The 21,757-nt window shown below is 38.0% G+C and overlaps 1 long non-coding RNA gene across 3 annotated transcripts in view; it reads right to left on the bottom strand.

Moving 5' to 3' along the window:
- Positions 1-927: 927 nt before the first annotated feature.
- Positions 928-21,757, bottom strand: part of LOC105379129 (uncharacterized) — a 42,004-nt gene continuing 21,174 nt past the window's right edge. For 2 of the 3 annotated variants that reach the window (XR_948683.3, XR_948684.3), the window contains exons 3-5: positions 14,800-14,872; positions 11,210-11,410; positions 928-1,107 (exon numbers count right to left, since the gene is read on the bottom strand). This is a non-coding gene — a long non-coding RNA (uncharacterized LOC105379129). Of the gene's footprint in view, positions 1,108-11,209; positions 11,411-13,743; positions 13,814-14,799; positions 14,873-21,757 lie in introns of those variants that run through there. The other variant, XR_948685.1, reaches the window with a different exon arrangement.

Raw genomic sequence — 21,757 nt, 5'->3', positions numbered from 1 at the left:
CTTTGCCCAAACTAGATAATGTTTCATTTCCTGAACAAGTCCTATGGGAAGAAGAATGTCATTCCCTTAGGCTCACCCCTTAATCTAGAGGAGGGGACAACTTCTTTGCTAAGTGAGAGCCTGTATTTCTCTATGGCTCTATGAAACAGCAAGAAAACTTTCCCCAAAGTCCCTAGTACACTGTCTCCCAATTTCCTTTGTCCAAACTGGATAATGTTTCATTTCCTGACCAAGTCCTATGGCCAGAAGAATGTCATTCCCTTAGGCTCACTCTTAAAGCTAAAGGAAGGAACAACGTCTTTGCTAGGTGAGAGTAAATGAAACAGAATGCAACTGAACAGAGGGAAATGGATACTAAGAAGCCAACCAACAATGTCCATTTTTTGAATCTCAGTATTATCATCTATAAGATGATAATAATGTTGTATAATTCACAACACTGTTATAAAAATTAAATGAGATAATATAGTACATTACTTAGAACAGAGTTTGGTTCATTTATTTTATAATAGGTGCTCAATAATTTCTGGTTAACAACAATAAGCACAATAATAATAATATTGCTGTTGTGAAGAACTGTGAAGGAAATGTCTGAGATTTTATACCTTTCACTACCATAACAAGTCAGCCTGCCATGGTTTAACAGATCCTAGAAAAAGACACAACACACCTGGGTTAGAGATAAAGAACTTTATTGCTCATACACAGCACTAGCAATAGCCAGAGTATCAGCCTCTTTTTCCCACCAGTTCCTTGAGCCCCATTTTCCACAGGGTGATTCACAGACCGTCAGGTGACATCTGCATATGCAGTGAGCTGTATTACAGGAGAAGAACACTGCAATAGACTGAGTTTATGTCCCTTCAAAATTCGTTTGTTGGAATCCTACCCCATAAGGTCATGGTATCAGGAGGTGGAGCCTTTGGAGGTGATTCTTCGGGAGCTGATTAGAATGGAATGAGTACCCTTGTACTTGTAAAAGTGATCCCAGAGAAATCCCTTACCTTTTCTTCCACGTGAGGCTATGATGAAAAGACAATGAAGAAGTGAGCCCTCCAAACACTGGGTCTGCTGGTGCCTTGATCTTGGAATTCCCAGCCTCCAGAACTGTGAGAAATAAATTTCTATTGTTTATAAGTCACCTAGTTTATGGCATTTTATTATAGCAGCAAGAACAGACTAAGATGGAAGGCAAGTTTAAATCTTCTTACTTGTAGCATTTGACTAATTCTCTCTTAATGTAAGATATACAGTGTGTATGATGTGTTGGTGGGGGACCAAATGTTCCTGTACCCACATCCACATAAGCAACGTCTTAATAGATGATGTGAAACTTATTATGTATAGTCATTATCCAGGTCCCACTCACAGTTAAGTGTTCACCAATAATTGGCACAGCTCCATCTGGAATGTCTGAAGAAAATTACTCTGTTTAGGCTGCTGAAGGTTAGCATCGGTTCTATCATATGCATGTAAAACCCAAGACAGCTCTCAAATGGAACAAGATAATGTGTCCTCACCTTAAATTAAATGGACACTTAAGACTTGAAAGAGTAAGAAGAAGGGAGGATTGGGGATATCCAGGAAGAGAGAAAGAGACTGTACAACAGGTAGGCCCACAGTTACTGAATCCTATTTACTTAATAATAAATGAAGAGATATAAAGTTTTCTGTGAATGTATGACAGGAATGGATCTCTACTCAAGTACCATGGCATGAGTTGAACTTTGCACCATCAGTTCCTGTATATGGGACTCCAATGAACTTTAGAGCCAAACAGATATTTCAGCCTCTGCTGCTTACAGGCTATGAGTGTAAGCAAGTTTCACAACATTTTTCTTACTTAACTGAGAAGATAGGGATAATAATAGCACCTACTGCATAGGGTCATTATGAAGAGTAAATTCTGAAAAGTGCATACCATAGAGTCTAGTACGCATCATCAGTAAATGGTAGCTGATACACTTGTTTAAAAAACTTTAGTAATGATTGACTTAATGATATATTGGGGAAAAACTTGCCCTGTCGTCCTATCTATATTTCTTGCCAGACACATGTAGGACAAAGGGTCACTCCATAAACCATCTGTGAGCTTTCAACTGATCATCAGAATAATGAGCCATCCCCAAGACCAAGTGCCACCCCTGGGCCAACTAAGATCTCCCGGGGTAATGCATCAATCCATTTCCCAGACTTTGTACAGCCATAGAGACGGTTCCCAGCTCCAGGAGATAGGTGTAGGGTGCGATAATCAAATTACAGAAAGTTGGATATTCATTCTGGTTCCACCTCTTATGAGGCTGACTTTACATTTCATCAATACCTCAACAAAGAGTTGTTGTAATATTTAAGGAAAGCATGTCTATAAATTTCCTACTTAGCACAGTTTCTTGCACGTTATACATTTGATAATTATTTATTCCTTACTTTCCATCCCTATTGTATTAAGGTGGAACAGATGTTGTCTCTAAGTTATTACGAAGCTGTCACTTTTGAGGGGCTAGGCAAGAGGAACAACTTCAGCAAACTTTAAACATTTTGAACTTCAGTGGGCATAAGGATCACTCAGGGAGCTTGTTAAAAATGCAAGATTGGCCCCACCCATAAACATTTTGACTAAATAAATCTGGGGTAGTGCCCAGTAATCTGTATTTTTAACAAGCTCTCTAGGAGAGTCTTCTGATGTAGGTGATGTTGTCATCACAAATTGAGAAATGCTGTTTGTGTCCAGTGCTATTTTAGGCTGAGCTATCTACCTCATATTACTTATTTCTATTTTCTTTTTACCAAATTACACAATAAAAAATTGCTTTTAAAAATAAGATATAGAAAAATGGCAGAGAGGGTCATGGCCAGGGGAGTGGAGCGCAACTCTTCTGTTTTCACTTCAGAATCCTTACTTAGTTATCAGCTGACATATAAATAAAAGATGAATTTTCCAATGATTAGGAGACTCTGTCTTGGTTTTAGAGAAGATGAATGGAGGAATTTTCTGACTTTAAGGACACAGAAATACATGAAAGAAAAGGTTTGTCAAAGAATAATTAAAAGGATTTTTACTAAACAAAAAGAATATGGTTCATTAATGTGGTCAGTGAGGACTCAAGTAATTATACGAGTAATTTTTATATGTTTTCAGGAATGAAAATTGACTCCAAGGTTCTAATTATGTTAAACCACAACATCAATATTTCCTGGATTTGGGAAGAGAAAAATCATGTGCAGATAAAATTAATAATGCCTTACCCTCTTCCATGATGTAATTAATGCATATGGAAGTAGGGGATGACTGTCAGTTCTTTTCTACAATGTAAGTTTGGGAACAACTTTGGCATTGTTGCAAATGCCCAGCTGGCTATTTCTAAGAAATGAAGTATTTGTATGACAGAGACTCTGTGTTCTTAAAGGAAGTTCCCTATTCATTATTCAGATCCATGCACATCCCTGGAACAGGTTCAGCAACAGAAGTTTCCATGCTTTAAGATGGTGAGATATAAATAGTTGTGTAAGGTTGAACACCAAGATCATCTCATAATATTGAGAATGTTGCAATGTAGCTGTGAATCAGGTTTCAAGTTGTTGTACCATTTATTGGAAATAAAGAGTATACTTCTTTAACTAATTCATCCCTCAAAGGTCGAATGAATTTAATTGCTCCTATTTTGAGCCTGGCTTCAAACAGCACACCCATTTAACCTGGCTATATTTAAAGGAGGTGGGGGGATCATTAAATCACTTAAGGAGAAAACATTCAGAAACACAAGACTGAAAGCAATGTTATTCTTTCTGAAGTCATCTTTCAAGAGAAGTGACCTGGAGGCCTGACATCTCCAGGCCATCTTACATTCGAAAGTGAACATGAAAACAGTAAAATAGAACGAATGACTTCTGGAACCAGGCGGAGGGAAGCTGATCTGCAGCCCAGAGAGGGAACAAGAGCCTTTCTACTCTGTCTCCAAAATAGACAATATCACACTTCCCATGCCTTCCTCCACAACCTTCCCAAATGCCATCACAGGGACAGTTTGTACATGATGAAATTCAGAAAGTTTCCTACAATATTTTAAATGAAGAAATCTTTTTGCCAATTGTTTTCAATCTATAAAATAACTGAATTTCCATGCATACCTCTTCTTTGCCTTCACATAGATATGCCGTCCAGCTATCTGTCCATCTTTTGCCTCCCACCCTCAGACTTCTTTGAACAAGAAGAGGTTACACTTTCAACCCTTTCCACTGCGGTCACGTACACATTTAACTTCCTACTCCCTCTGTTCAAAAATTATCAAAGGAGAATGATGAAACTCAGAAAGCTGTAACACAGCTTCAAGATGCACCACAATTACTCTGTGAACTCATGAAAAGCATTGGATTTGAAAAGACTAGAAGAATAAGCAGCTGGTACTTTAGGAGTGCTTATCATGTGACTAGCCTTGTTCTAACTTATTTAATCCCCATATCAGACCTATGTTTATCATACTGATTTTACAGAGAAGTAAATCAAGGAGAAAGAAGGATAAGTAACTTTTCCAAGGCCACAATTGCAAGGCTTGGAGCTAGGATTGGAACCCAGAAGTATGGTTATAGAGTCTGTGCTTCTAGCCACTATTTAAACAAGATGAACCAAACAGTTAAGACCTTAAATGGACTATGATGAATAGAAGTGGGGAAGCATAGAGCAGTGCTGCTGTTACTCAGGAGACCCAGCTTCACCTCCACTTGAGAACCCTCTGAAGTAGCTGACAAAATGTTAGGTGAGTCTCCTCAGACCTGGGCTCTGGAAAATAGGCCTCATTCTTTCCTGAAACCACAGAGCTCTAAAAGAGCAATTGTCACCACGCTGAGCAGAAATGCCTCTAAGAGGATGCTTCATTGCCTTCTTAGGTGTCAAGACCCCCACCATGTATGTCCGGGTGGGGGAGGGGGTCACTATCTTCTGTCTTGGCTCCTTGGTCTTGAGCCTTCAGTCCCTAAAGCTGAGGTGCCAAAGATCCACCTCCCTCATCCCTCTGGTTGGGCAGGAGTCTTTCTGAACTTTGAGGACTTGATGCAGATGGAGATTTTTTTCCTCTGCGCAAACAGGATCCTCAAGACCCTAGTTGTGGCAATGAGAGGTGTTCACCAGAGAGTAAGAAGACACACTTCTGTTGGGACCTGGTCCAAATGGCTCTTGGGTACTCACCAAGTGACATAATCGTCTTTCCTGCAGTCCATTCTCTGGACACCTTCTGGACCACAGGTTCCCCTTTTTAAATATATCCTAGGATCAGATTCCAAGTGTAGAAAAGTGTGATAGGCTATAAGTTAAACTGTTTTAATCATATATATGATCAAAAGTGTGTATATATATGTATATGTATATACTCAGAAAAAAATGTATCGCTGATGCTTTTTTTCTACTTTTCCTTTCCCATCTCTGTCTTTCTCCCACATAATGAAGACTCACGGTAACTTCTGCTATTTGAGATAGCAATTTATTTTGCTTGTCTCTCCTCCAGTGTCTTAATAATAGTTCCTCTGATAATTTTTAAACTTAAATACAACGCAAATTTTGCTTATGTTGGACAAGTAGAAAATCATTTTTGCAGAGATAAAATCAAACAAAAAGTGCATATTTATATTTAAGTATGTTCATATCAACATGACAAAGAAAGATGATAAGTATATACCCCAGGCCATAAACATTTGTTGTCTCAGAAAGAAGCTTGAGAACAGAGGGGTAGCAATGATAGTACTTTTATTATTTAGGTTTTATTTATGTATCTTTTTATTATTTCACCTGTTAAAGTAGCATGCATTGTTTTCTAAATTAAATAAAAATAGAGAACATTTTAAAAGGAAAAGGTAGACTTCCCTTTCCAGGAAGCTGAAGTAGACACATTTTTCCCTATTCCTCTCATTAAGTATAACTAAAAACTTTGGACATTATGTATAAAAGGAAAATAAAAAGACTCTGAAATGTAGAGAAAAGGCAGATCGTCTAGGAACAATAGGAACACAAGAAGAAATTTAGTGTTGAACTCCTTGGGTTTTCCTTTTGTTTCCCAGACTTGGAACTGAAGAAGCCAGCCACCCAGAAAAGTCAATGTATACAGACAAAAAAAGGCCCAACAAAAGCCTGTTCTCTCTACCAAAGGACCAGGAAAAGGACAACATAGCAAGGCAAAAAACTGCTCCCCTCCAGCCTAACTGCGCAGAAAAAACTGTGGCTCCCTCACCCATACCAGCAAATATTGAGTGGGGTGCCCAGTCTTCCACCTTCCCCAGGCTATAGTGAGGTTGTGTCAAAAAAGTCCAAGAAGGAAGCTGAGACTTTCATCCCTGCCAGAATATAACAAGCCTCTCCCACCATGGTGTCAGTTGAGGCCATGTGGGAAGCCTGTAATTCTACACTCAGTGGATGGTAGCAAGACATCCTCCTCCTCCCCGCTGGGCTAGTGTCAGAAGAGGCCTAGTGGAGAGTCAGCACTTTCAACACCACCCAGTGGTTTTGAGGCTAACCCTTTATACCTCCTTAAGTGGCACAGTATCAAGGGAACTTCTACCCCCTGCAGCCACAGAGGCATCAATAGAGGCCTCATGGGAGTCAGAACTTCCACCCCTATGTAGCAGTAATGAGGAGCACAAATTAGAAGGTGTCAACAAAGGCCAAGAGAAGAACCTGAATTACCCCACCCAGCAGTAATAAGGTAGCAACCCCCTTTCACTTTTGGAGCAGTGTCTGGAAATCCAGATAAAACAGAAGGCTTAAATAAGATCCAGAGCCTTGTAACAAAATACCTCAAATGTCCAAATGTCAATTGTACCAAAAAGAGTTCAAATTCAATGGAAAAAAAAGCCAACATTAAGATGACAGAGATGTTAGAATTAGCTGATTACATTTTAAAGCAGCCACCATAAAAAATGTCTCAGCAAGCAATTACAAACATGCATGAAACAAACAGAAACTTAGAAAGTGAAGCAAAGAAGTCCGGGTGTGGTGGCTCAGGCCTGTAATCTCAGCACTTTGGGAGGCTGAGGTGGGTGGATCACCTGAGGTCGGGAGTTTGAGAACAGCCTGACCAACATGGAGAAACCCCATCTCTACTAAAAATACAAAATTACCCGGGCATGGTGGCAGGCACCTGTAATCCCAGCTACTCGGGAGGCTGAGGCAGGAGAATCGCTTGAACCTGGAGGCAGAGGTTGTGGTGAGCTGAGATGGCGCCATTGCACTCCAGCCTGGGCAACAAAAGCAAAACTCTGTCTAAAGAAAAAAAAAACAAAGGAAGTGAAGCAACGAAATAGACAATGTTAAAAAAATAGAAATTTTTAAAACTGAAATGTACAACAACCTAAGTAAAAAAAAAACAAAAAAAACCCTCAGTGAATCAGCTCAACAGCAGAACAGAGGAAAAAGAAGAAAGAATTGGTCGACTGGAAAATAGAAATTAGCTAATCTGAACAACAGCAGAGAAAATGGACTTTAAAATGATATTTGAGTAGATGAATATCCCAATTATCCTAATTTGATCATTACATATTGTGTATTTATATCAAAATACCTCAGGTATCCCAGATATCTGTACAATAATTTTATATCAATTTGAAAAAAAAATGAGCAGAGCCTTCTCCTCTTTAGTTTTCTAAATCATGTTTGAAGATTGAAGCAAAAATTATAACATTGTCTGGTATGATTCTAAATGTGTAAAAAGGAAATACTTCAAACAATTATAAATGAGGAAGGATAAAGTCATGTAAGGTTTCTACATTTCACTCAATCTAGTAAAATGACAGTACCAATAGACTGTGATAAGTTATATAAGTAATGTTACTACTTACAGCAATGACCAAAAAAGCTATAGACATAGGCTCAAAACACTAAAAAACACTGCAAATATCAAAATGGAATTCTAAAAATTTTTCAAGTAATCCACAGGAATATAGGAAAAGGAAAATGGAAACAAACCAAACAAAAAAAAAGAGAACAAAGAGGAAATAAAATATAGAATGGCAGACTTAGGTCTTAAGATATCAATAATTACATTAAATGTAAATAGTCTAAATATGTCACTTAAAAGACTGGCAGAATGGATTTAAAAACATGACTCAACTATATACTGTCTACAAGAAGTTTACTTCAATAACAATATAGCAGATTGAAAGTTAAAAAAAAGTATCACTGAGAAAGATACATCATTTGAACATTAGTCAAAAGGAAGCAGAAGTGACTATATTAACATCAAATAAAGTAGACTTCAGAGCAAAGAACATTATTATCAGAAACAAAGAAGGACATTTAGAGTAATCCACCAAGAAGACATATCAATCCTAAATGTGTATGTACCCAAAAAAAGAGCTGCAACAGAATCTAATCAACATTTATAGAACATGCCAACTAGCAACAAAAAAATACCCATTCTTTTCATGTGCCAACAGAATGTATACTAAGCTGGAGCACAGTGAACAAGTCCCATCAATATGCTCAGGCCCATCCTGAGTCAAACAACACACCTCAACATATTTAAAAGGATTGAAATAATACAGAGTGTATTCTCTGTCCACAGTGGTACCAAACTAGTGACCAATACAAGAAGATAAGGGGAAAATCTCTAAACATTTGGAAACTAAGCAACATATTTCTAGATAATCCGTGGGTCAAGGAAGAAGTTTTAATGGTAATTTTAAAATTACATTGACCTGAATGAAAGTGAAAATACAACATATAAAAATTTGTGGGACACAGCTAAAGCAGTGCTGAAAGGGAAATTTGCAGCACCAAATGCCTACCTTAGAAAAGAAGAAAAATCTCAAGAACCTAGAAAAAGGGGAAAACCCTAGAAAAACCCAAAGCAAGCAGAAGGAAGCAAATGATAAAGCTATACAATGACTAAGCTGGTAAAAATTTAAAAAAAAAATTGCTTAGATTTTGGATAAGGAGAAAAACATCGTTTTTGGAAAATGAAATTAAACTACAACACTGAAATATTGGAATGAACTTAAGCTAAATTCTGAGGATTTGAGCCTGGCTTCTAAATTTGCATATTCATTTCTAATCTCTATAAAAGCTCCAGCATGAAACCATATTGGTCAAGGAAATCAGAAAGTGCCAGGAAAAAACTAAGAGTTATGCTCATTTTTTTCACTCTTATTTATTTATTTATTTATTTATCTCAACTTTTATTTTAGATTTAGGGGATACATGTGCAGGTTTTTTACATGGGTTTATTGCGTGAGGTTTGGGGTATGAATGATCCTGTCACCCAGGTAGTGAGCACAGCACTCGATAGGTAGTCTTTTGACCCCTGTTCCCCTCTTTCCCCACCTCCAGTAGTCCCCAGTGTCATTATTTCTATCTTTATGTCCATGTGTACCCACCGTTTAGCTCCCACTTGTAAGTGTGAACATGCAATATTGAGTTTTCTGTTCTTGCATTTGTTTACTAAAGATAATGGCCTCCAGCTGCATCCATGTTGCTACAAAGAACATGATTTCATTCTTTTTATGGCTGTGTAATATTCCGTGTGTATATGTACCACATCTTCCTTCATCCAATCCACATTGATGAGCACCTAGGTTGATTCCATGTCTTTGCTATTGTGCATAGTGCTGCAATGAATGTACAGGTGCATGTGTCTTTTTTGTAGAATTATTTATTTTCTTTTGTGTATATATCCAGTAATGGGATCACTGGGTCAAATGATAGTTCTGTTTTAAGTTCTTTGAGAAATCTCCAAACTGCTTTCCACAATGGCTGAACGAATTTACATTCCCACCAACAGTGTATAAGCGTTCCCTTTTCTCTGCAGTCTCACCAGCATCTGCTATTTTTCGACTTTTAAATAATAGCCATTCTGACTGATGTTTTTACTCTTGTTCATGAGATTCATCATATGGTTATTTACCTTACTGTGACCTTGCTGAAATGATACCTCCTCAATTCTAGGCCAGTGTGTTCTAAATGATACTTAAAGTAACTGCTATCACACACGTGTGTGTGTGGTTTTAAGGAGCGCAGAGTTTAATAGGCAAGAAAGAAACGGGAAGAAAGAAAGAAGAAGCTCCCTTGTACAGAGACAGAGGGAGCGGGGCTCCAAAGCTGAGAGACAGAACTCCACACTTAGCTAATATCAGCCAGCTATATTCAATGGCTGGAGGAGGCTGGGTCTGATTTGCATAGGACTCAGGGGATTGGTTTGACTAGGCATGTCATTCACGTAACCGGCGGAAAAAACTGGCCCTCCTACCCTAGCCTTTTAATATGCAAATGTAGGGCACCATGATGTTCCACACACGTGGGGATATGTGGGGGTGGTCATGCTGCCAGACACATGTGGGGGAAGGGCAAGAGGACAGCTGTGGGAATCGCCATGTTGAGTGGACCCAGTTTCTTTTCTTTCTTTTTTTTTTTTTTTAGAACAGAAAGAAAACTGTTTTATTACACAAACTTGAATGTGACATGCATCATAGTCAATCTGCTTAAGAGACTGCAGAGACAGAAAGATGGTCACCAAAATTAGTCCACAAGTAGAAGAATTTACAGTACCATGTCATACATAGTTAATCCTAAATTCACATGGAGATTGAAGAGGCTATCTGTGTATGCTAATTGTTTATATTCAATGACAAAAAAACTTTTCACATCTTCATAACAGGAGGTAGTTTAGCAGCTTGAAGCCAGGTACTTGCTGAAGGTAGGCTTTGAACCTGCTACAAAAATGGTTGAAAAGCATTCTATCCTCTTGGCTATTTACCTTTTAGAGCAGTGGCTCTGTGCTCCGTGGCATTGGGCTACAGCACTCCTGCTTGCTTTTTCCTGTTGCTAGTGTCCTCTCTTGACCTCTATCATCTGCCACTGAGGCACAGCCTTGAGCACAGCTCAGTTTATGTGAACCACATTTCCCACAGCAGCACTCTAGTGTCACATCAGAGAGGAAAGCCTGAGCTGCAGGAGGAGAGCCTGCAGGCCTCGTGGGTAGAATTGCACCTTCACAATAATGGGAGTGTGACCGTTTACCCAGTTTCTAATGACTTGCATTTGCATATTAAGGTTGCCAGCCCAGCCGTGCTGGGTGGACCCAGTTTCTAACGGCTTGCATTTGCATATCAAAGGTTGCTGGCCTGGGTCTAAGAGCCAGGGCTTTCATGCTAGAGAAGAGCTGTAAAAAAATTTTCCAAGGACCCCTTTTTCCTCTCTACCTGTCTAAAATAATTTCTTAATAACTCCTACCTCATTTCTCCCTGTGGAGATATCACCCCAACGGCTGTTAGGGGGTTCTGGGTGACAACTCTATCTGGCTACTTCCTGCTGAAAAGGGGCATTGAATGGGGAACAGCATCTAAGACTTCTCCTGGGGTTGATCTAAAGGTCCTCAGAACGGCGTGTCCATGTGTGGTTCAGTTTGCAGCACCATTTGGAGTTTGACTGATTCTAGGTGAGAAGAAACAATCGAGTTACAGTATTGAGTATACAGGGTCCAAATATTAATACAAGATATACAAGCAAGAGAGGGATTAATAAAGGGGTCAACCAATTCCATGAAGAAGACTGGAATTCGTTAAATAAGGATTGTAGCCACCGGGGGCTGAAGCCGGCATTTTCTCTGAGCCTGTCAAAAATTTTGATTTGATCTTTTAAGCACCTGTAGATTTTCCTCTTCTTTACTAGAGGTGTTAATCTAGAAGCAACATGTTTCATTTGAAAGTGCACAGGTACCTCCTACTCCAGCCATAAGGACATGGAAGGCCTGTCTATTTTGTGTTACTACTGAGGCTAAAGAGACTATAGATTGCTGTCGTGCCTCTATGGCCCCTACAGTTTCCTTCCATCCTCGTTGCATCATAACAGAGATATTAAGTATTGATCTTTCAAGGAGAGGTATGTCTGCAGACCAGAATAGACCTCTGGCTATAGAATTTCCCATCCATGGATTCTTCTAAGAAGAGATTGTCATGTGCATGCCCTCCCCAGTCTGCGCTTTCAGTTAAATCTCCATATGAAGGCATAGAAATGATAGATCTTTTTGTCTGGTGTATTCGAGTTAGTGCAGTTTCTAGAAAAGAGCTTAAGTTAGGGATGTCCCCAGATGATGCTGCCATCTCAGTAGAACTTAAAAATAATAAGTCAGGAACTACTGCAACTGTAGTACAAATTCCCTTCCACTTTCTTGGGAGGATTAAGTGTATCCAGGAGCCACACAGAAAATATAGCCCTGTTCCTTGAAGAGATGGTTTTAAGTTGTGGCTTGTGAGAGACACTGGCAGATTTTTCTCATATCTCAGAAGTTTTCCCTCTTTACATATAATAAGGACATCCTGGGATAAGGATAACCATATTTAGGATAGTCACTTACAGTGCCATTTGGAATTTGACATGCCAAATGAAGAGGGTCCACCTGACAAATGGAGTTTCAAAAAATTAGAGACATAATATGCCCTGGCCAATATCTCAGAAGATCCTTGTGGCAAGGGCTGTCGGTCCAGATGTCTCCAGTTCGCCCACATATTTGTAAGCCACTACTATTAGCAAACGTCATACAAGGGTTTGGAGTTCCATGACGGGGCATGTTTGGAAAGGCCCATGTGTTATTCTTTACATTACAGTCAAGGTGGTTATTTAGAGCATGCCATTCCCATTGAGACTTCCAACCAATGGGAGCAGCTAGATTCTGAAAGCCCCCTACTAGGGCTTCCGATAGTTGTAGATTATGCTTGTTGCATTCTCTTCCCCAAATCTTTGAATTTCAGCAATTACAAGTGTGATGTTACAATACTTGAGATCTCCCAAGCATGGTCCTTCCCTTTTACTTCTAAAGCAGAGAGAGGCATTTGCTATTACTTGGTCCACTTTTCCCAGCCTGAGGGTATCACACATATTTTTTAAACTATGATACATAGTGAGACTAGGAATAAGCACAGTAAGGAATAATGTATTTACCTGAAATCTATTAATTAGAACTTTATTAAGTCTAGCACTTTGGTTGTTTGCAATAGTTGGTTTCCTCTATGTCCTTAAAACTTTAATTTTTTTTAAAAAATCACACAATACATAAGTATATTCTATTTCTTCAAATTCAATCTACACAGAAGCATGTTAAAAAAGAATGTAATCATGGCTAACAGTTTGATATATATATATATATCCTTCCAGACAATTTTATATATATTTACACAAATACATACATATATTTATAGATTTACATACAGAAAATTAACCACTGGAATTTAAGATAAGCAGAATTAGGCTTTTAGGGTTAATTCTACTACTTTTTAAAAGCTTTTTTAAAGCTTAGCACAGTGTCATAGACATCTGTACATGCTAGTACAGGATTTTAAATGCCAGTAGTTTTTTTATTTCCCACTGTTGTAAACATATCACATGATTGTATCATAATTCAGTCAATCCTACAATGAATAACTTACTCATACTCTTTGTGCATGTATACATGTATTTTTCTAGGGAAAATATATAGAAATTGAATTTTTTAATACATTGTTTCCAGTAAGTCACAAACTCCCCATAGTGTGTGAGTCTCATTTGTTCACATCTGGAGTCCAGCGTCTCTGTGCTTGGACGTACCAGAACAGCTCCCACCTCTGCAGCAGTCCTCCCAGCAGTGGTCTGGGCTGCTATGATTTCCTTTATCAACCCAATCCTAAGTTCTTTCTGTTTTTCAGGTAACTTTCAAAATTCCTAGTACATTAATGGCAGTCATTCTTGTTTTCCGGCATTATATGCATTTATTTATTTATAAAATATGTATTCTGTTAATTGAAAGGATTTGGAGAGGTAGGCATATGTGTTCAGTCTATCTTGTTCTAATCTCTTTTCACTCTACAAAAAGGAAAGATGAGTGGATCAGAATAGTCAAAAGAGAGAGACTTGCTAAGAATCTTTACATAGAAACTCTCTATAAAATTTTCCTCTTTTTAGAACCTCTGACCCTGAAAGCTGCCAGTGGGCTCTGTGAAACATCATCTGTAATGTTAGTTTTTCTGTTGAATGCCTCCAGCTGTGGGTCATGGGGCAGAGGACATAGATTTTTATATCATCCCAATGGATTAATGGCTCAAAATCAAATCCTGGCAGAGTATCAAAGACTGACATCAGAAACGCAAGGGTGAAAGTTCTCTCTCTTGAACATGCATAACTTTGGGTTTGTTTTTTAAATGTTGAATATATTTATCATATTCTTTTAATCTAAGAAGCCAAAAGAAAACCACATGGTATAAAAGAAAGCAAGCCTCCAAAGAATACCAAATTATTTTGGAAGCAATAAAATCTACTTTAAAAGATTTGCCTGTTTTAAAAAGCGGCTGGATGACCTCATGTTCCATATGAAATTCTCAAATCTGGACATAGCCGTTGTGTTTTCTATTTAAAGCCCAGTACAAAAGCCAAGCAAATGCTTTGTGCAGCTTGTTTGTGCCTTGAACTGCCTCTGCTCTGATATGGTTTCACCTACTTGAATCAGGCAGGAAGGTTTCTGGACACAATATCACATTGAAGTCTGGATCTCAAAAATATTGTGAAGCTGAGGGATATTTTTTAGCCTGGTTTCCCAGTTTGGGCAATCTTTTGCTTCTTTCTCCCAGCTGTTAACAACTTTCAAAATTTTAATTAAGATTTAGGTGCAAATGACAGACTGACTATAGCTTAAACTTTTACTCCTTTAAAAACACCTGCATTTTAACATCAATGCTCTAATTGTGGAATCCCGGTGTTAGCAAGAAGAGGAGCAGATGAGGTGGGACCCTTTGGGCACCTGGGCCTTCCAAGTACTCAAGTAAGTGAGGTGTGACCTCCTTCACCCTGCTCACCTGGGTACCACTTCCATTTTCTCAACAGGACTCTCATTCCATTGCAGCCAAAAGGATAATGGTTTTGTGCCTCCTAGGTTCAGAGAAAAAACAAGAGTCAGCAGGGCTTGGTGCAGGAGCTTCTTAAATATGAGCCCTTCAGGGGCCTCCATGGGAGGGAAGTGGTGAGAACAGGTGGGACTGACTCCTTCCCTACTTTATTTTTCAAAGAAATTCCTTGCTTTTCCTTTTCTTCAGTGTAAAATGTTTGACAAGGGGTTTTGGCCAAAAGAAAGGTGGAAAACAAAGATGGAGGAGTGGAAAGGATCTGGGTTGTAATCCCTGCTTCCTGGAGCTCAGAGAAGTTCAATATGCAGTGGCTAGAGTAAGCCTTGGTGCTACATTTGGCCAGAGAAGATTGTATCCTATAGTTGCCTCCCAGCTCAGCCTACACATTTGTAAGAGAGAGAATGTGTCCATTCCATCTTCAAGACAGGAAAGATAATATAGATGAGAAAGACTCTTTCAGTGAACATGGAAAATGACTGTTGTAAATAACATGTTATATTTTAACTCCTCAGTCCTCAGTTTCCTCATCTGTAAAATGGTAATGCTGAGAGTGACCTCACAGAGTTGTTGTGAGGATTGAGTAACATCTGCAAAACTCTGCCCAGTGTTCGGCCCACAATCAAGTGCATGTCAGCCATTGTCATTAAGTATCTGCCTTTCTGTATCACTCTCCAGTCTCTTCATGCATGATCCACTGCCTCCCAGCTAGACAGGAAGGGTTTGGGTGGCATTATATTTCTTATCCTAAATCTTTAAACTCCCATCTCCCCACAGCTCCCATTACAGTGTCTGGCATATAGTGGGTTCTCAACAAATATTTGTCAGTTGAGTCATGGATATTGCAGTTGATCATGGACTCTTTTTCTTCTGCAGTCCATGAAATTGTGTCACCCGTTGTCCTAGTTTCTGTTTGCTCCTTATATATAGAATCCTACCTTTATTTCTAAGCACATTCTGACTTTTTTTAAAGTTCTTGAAATTTGATCTTTTGATCTACCTACATACAATATAAAGGAAGAGAAGAGACAAAAATCAAGTTCTTCTGTGGTTTTTAAATTTTACTTTGAGCCAACCCAATAAGGGCTTCTCCTCTTAAACTGTATGTTATTGGAAGAATCTTTTGGTTTCACTTTATTTATATTCTCTATTTATGAAAAGAGGAAAAAAACACATTCTGTATATCCTTGGAGTGCAACAGCTTTTTTATAAGACTAAAGAGGTAAACATCAATAAAGATCAACTACATAACGTATATTCAATAGCAGAAGAACACTAAGAGGATTACATTCTCTTCCTCTATTAGGTTAATTTTACATTAAAAATAAATCTCTAAGATGAATTTTGTAATTTACCAAGTGGTAAAATAAACAACTTGATTAAATTTTAAAATACACATAATAAATATTGCAGTTAATATTAAATAACAAAAGTGTTTTATTATTTAACATATACTTTAGAAAATAAATAGAAATAAAATGGTACAGTCACACTGGAATACAATTTGGCAGTTTCTTTAAAACTAAACATGCACATACCATATGCTATGGTTTGAATGTATCCACCAAATTCCATGTATTGGAAACGTAATCCCCAAGTTTATATGATGATTAGAAGTGGGACTTGGGGAGATGATTAGGATGAGATAAGCTCATCAGGATGGGGCTCTCATGATGGGACTGGTGGCTTTATAAGAACAGGATGAGAAACCTGGGCTACCATACACACATGCTCTTGCCCTCTTGCTATGTGATGCTTTCCACCATGTTGTGACACAGCAAGCAGGCCCTCACCAGATGCCAGTGATATGATCTTGGACTTCTCAGCCTCCAGAACTAGAGGAAACAAATTTCTTTTCTTTATAAATTACCCAGTCTTAGGTATTCTGTTATAGCAACAGAAAACAAACTAACACACCATACAGCTCAGCAATTGCACTTTTGGACATTTATCTCAGAGAAATGAAAACTCATGTTCACACAAGAACCTGTACATGAATATTCATAGCAGCTTTACTCATAACATCCAAAACCTGTAAACAACCCAGACATCCTTCAGTGGATGAATGGTTAAACGAACTGTGGTACATCCATACCATGGAATACTACTCAGCAATAAAAAGAACAAACTATTGATACATGCAACAAGATAGATAATGCATGGATCTAACAGGAATCATGCTGAGTGAAAAATGCCAATATCGAAAGGGTACATAAAGTGTGACACCATTTATTGTAACATTCTTAACATAACAAAATTATAGAAATGGAGAACAGATTAACAGTTGCCAGATTAGTGTTTAGGGAGTGGGGACTTGACTATTAAAGGATAGCATGAGGGAGCCTTGTGTGGATGAAACAGTTTTGTATCTTGATTATGGTCATGGTTATACTAATCTACACATGTGATAATATTGCATAGGACTATGTACACACACACACACACATGCACAATTAAGGACATATAAAACTGGTAAAATCTGAATAAGCTCTGTGTGTTTTACCGTTGTCCATTTTTTGGTTTTGATGTTGAGCTACAGTTATGCAAGATGATACAAATGGAGGAAGCCGGATAAAGGGTACTCGGGACATCCCTGTCTACACATTTTTTGTAACTTCTCATGAATCTATAATTATTCACAATAGTTATAATAATTATAATTATTTCAAAGCAAAAACAAAAAATAATAAATAGAAGCTCTGCACAAAATATATTTCCATTGCACACAATAGTGTTTTTTCAAGAGACATATATAAAAAGGGAGCCCTATGGAAGTACAAATGATGTATAGAGAGTGAGCACTGAGGGACCTTTAGATTCAAAAAAGTAATCCAAAGGACTTCCTCTTTGACTTAGCTTCTTAACACAGATGAAGTGGATTTTATCATAAAAAGTATGCTCTCTAAAATAATATTAAACTTTAACTCCAAATGTTGTTATTAATCTTTTAAAAATCAAAGAGTTCCTGGCATGGCTTTTAAATAACACATACTTATCCATATTTTTAGAGAAAGAAAGTGAAGCATAAATGTTCTCACTATATGCATACAACATGCTTCAGAATTTCTGTTATCACAGAAATTCTTAATTCTCCACAATTCTCTGTATTTCTTTCCCTTTTATTTGGTCCTCAAAATAATTGCATGAAGTATATAGAGGAAAAAACATAAGTAGAAAAACCACGGACTGATAATACTACCATTCTTCTAGGAACTGCCAAGGCCAACACACATACCCAGTCACAGGTGCTCAGTGTAGCCCAGAGACTTCAGGTATTTCCTCAAATATTATACCAAAAGGACACACAAATGCGGAGTGACTTGACAACTCCTCCAAAGCACGGTGCTGATACAAGAATTGTGCTGTCGGTTCATTTCATTCCCCAACATTTTATTCTCTAACAATCCTATGAGGTAGACATCTTACAGATAAAGAGACCAGATAACATAAATGTGTCAATTAAGTCTATGGGTGACTAAGTATGGGCTAGCCCTGGCCCAGCCACATTCACAGTGAGTCAGTGCTTGGCTTCTGGAGCCACACTGTGTGAGTGTGAACCTCAGCTCTACAATGTCTGAGCTACACTGTCTGGGGCCAGTTACATGACCTCTCTCAACCACAAGTTCCTCACCTGTAAATTAAAAATAATAATAACAATCAGGGTATTTTGAGGATCAAATAATTTCATATATGTCAGTCATGTAGATCAGAGGTCATCAAACTATGTCCCGTGGGCCAAATTTGTGGCCAAATCCCACAAATCCTACCATCTGTTTTGGGAAATAAAGTTTTATTGGAGCACAGGCACATTCATCCCTTACATAATATCTGTGGCTGCTTTCTCATTACAACAGAGTTGAGTACTTGTGACAGAGATCATATGGCTCACAGCACTGAAAATATTTACTATCTGGTCCTTTACAGAAGAAGTTTGCTGACACCTGATTTAAATGATGGCTTGGCGAAACCTAAATGCTTAGTAAGTGTTTACTATTGTTCTCACTATTATTATAAAAGTTCACCCTGATGTCTTGGAGAACAAACCTCTCCCATCCATTAAGAGCCTGATACAGTCATATTCCAAATAGTTTATCCTTCCATCATAATTCTGAAGCCTCTCTCTTAGAAAATCCATACATGTTTTAGGCCTGTATCATGAGGGCAGTAGCTTGGTAGAATAAGGCTTCTACTTTCCAGGAAAACTACAGAGTCACTTTAATTAATCATGTATAGCTGACCTATCAAAAGGTCTTGGTTTTTGGCACAGTTGTAGCATGGGTTTTCCAGGTCAGACAAACAAATATGTTTGCTAGGAATGCACGAAGCAATGGGCTGATTTTTCCCCTGTTCTAGGTCATTCTGGGCATGTTCTCTGAGGATAGGAAAGATTATTACCTAAAAAAGCCCTGCTATTTCTGCAAGTCAAGTGTAAAGATAAAAAAGAATAATGGGAGAGATCATAAACTAATCTAGATTCATAATAAAATAAAAATAATAATTATTTTACTGACCCAGGTAGAAATACTGGTTTAATTGGTGTCAGTGCAAAATACAAGGCTAAAATGGATCTATTCTCCATACAGTATGCAGAGTAATCTTTGAAAACACAAATCAGATTGAAAACACAAATCAGATTAGGTACCTCCCTTGACTAAAATCTTCCAGCAGCTTCTTATTTTAGCATAAAGTCCAAATTCCATGATCCTGCTCTAGTTCCTTCTCTGACCTTAATCTGCCACTCTTCTCCCCTCACTCCCTTGAGCCAAGCTCATAAGCCTTCTTTCATTCCTAGCACATGCCAAGCATGCTCTGCCTTCGGATGTTTGCACCTGCTTTCGTCTCTTCCCTCTGCCTGGAAGAGTGTGTCCGTATATCTTCACAGGGCTGACTCCTGCTCACATGCTGGTCTTGGCTCAAATGGCACTTCCCCAACCAACCTTCTCTCAAGACCACCCACTCACACTCTCCATCACATCTTCCCATTTTATTTCACTCATAGCCCTCATCACTAGCTGAAATTATCTTGTTTCTTCATTTGCCTCCTTAATCTTTGTGCATCTCCCTCCATTAGTACATAAGCTCTATGAGAACCTGGAATATCTTCTTTTATATAATAGGTAGCTAATAAATCATCATTAAATGAATGAATGAATGAACCAGCAGGATTTTTACCCTACAACTATAAAACATGTCTGAAGTAGAAAATAAGAAATTTTTAGGGAAAATTAATTTAGGTCAAAGAGCAATATGCGGTCAGAATGCAAAAAATAAGTGTCAAGTAGTAGAACTATTCAGAATGTGCTTTTGAAATGCATTCTCCTACATGGGTCCTATCTCCTACCATTTAGGCAACATACTTGGAAAGTCTATGGGAGGTATATTTTAACTAGTAATTACATTATTTCTTGTCAATCTTCATCTACCTGCCATTAAGGCCAGCAAAAAAAAAATGAAATTCCCAAGTGCTGAGCTCACTTAAATACCTGGGGGTAATTTTTCCCTTCAATGTCTCTGGGATCATGGTTAAAAAGTCAAGTCCCTCTTTCAGAAGAGAACAAAAATCACTTATAAACACTCTTTGAACATTTTGTTTATAGTTCCCTTTGTAGTTTCTAAAAAATGCATGAGAAGCTATTAACATACAAAGCCTAGTAGGGAAAATAGCCTTGTACCTTAAACTAGTTCTCCAATATTTTCACAAAAAATAAAAATAGACTTGTCACATGGAAGAAATGATGTCATTTATCCTTGGAAAGACCTCTAACAGACATTCATCTGTACTGTTACTAAACTTAGACAAACACTCCACAATAGAATGACAGACCTAAACAGCCCCTTAAGTTACCTACACACAGATGAACTAAGGCTGCTGTTCAGCAGACATCATATTTTTCAGGATCCACTCCTAGGACAAAACATATCTCATGCATTAGGCAGTAGCATATGGATATTATCATTAAAAATGGACTCGTGTACATACAATGTAAATGTATGCAGTTCATACATGTAAAAGGTTCTAGATTTAACTTTAGAGATGAAAAAGGGGGAAAGTTAAAATAATTTATTGAATTTAGAGAAAAACTCTTATTGCATTTAAATGAAAGACACTTAGTCTGAATGCCAACCTTATTTTCTAGCTCAGACATTATTTTTATAGTTGAATAGTGAAAATCTTTTAATTCATTTATTCAACAATGCCTTATTAAGTACCTATTATGTACTAAGTGAAATTCCAAGGTTGCACAGAGCTTATGTACTAGTGGAGGCAAACAGACAATTATAAAGTAAGCAAATAAATTTAATCCAGATTTAAATCTGGTGGTTCTAAATGTCAAGCAAGATCTCTGAAATAATAGTCCTGACCCATCTTTAATATTCTTCATGTAGATTATTTTATACCTATCTGGACAGATCTAGGAAACATTAACTCTAGCAAGAATTCAGAATTTCATTAAGATACAGATTCCAGTGAGATATGCGGGGCAGATGAGAAGTATGTCTTCCAGTAGGATTATATTTTTATTGAACTGAAAGAGGATTCTACCCAGATTTTACTGAAACAAATTAAATATTGGACATTTGTTCTAATCATGTAACAAAATGCATTTTCTAAATGGAGTTTATAGAATAGCTTTTACCTATTTGGTGGATAAGAAAGATTAGTGTTCACGGAGCGACATGTATTGTTTGCATGGAGAGCATGCCCTGAGACCATCTCTAAAGAACACACACATACATAGGAAGACTCTGGGCTCTACCTGTCAACTGCACAGTCTCTGCCCAGTGCCAGGAACCATTACTTCATTTAAACCTTGCGAACAACCTGACCAGGCAGGTAAGAAAACAGACAGAAACTCAGAGTTAAGTGATGTGTGAAGATTCACATAGCTAGTAGGTCAGTGGGAGAGCCTAG

The sequence above is a fragment of the Homo sapiens genome, chromosome 5, assembly GCF_000001405.40.
Source record: "Homo sapiens chromosome 5, GRCh38.p14 Primary Assembly".
Classification (NCBI taxonomy): domain Eukaryota; kingdom Metazoa; phylum Chordata; class Mammalia; order Primates; family Hominidae; genus Homo; species Homo sapiens.
Note: the sequence above shows the minus strand (reverse complement) of the source record. Positions and strands in the feature narration are given on the sequence as shown.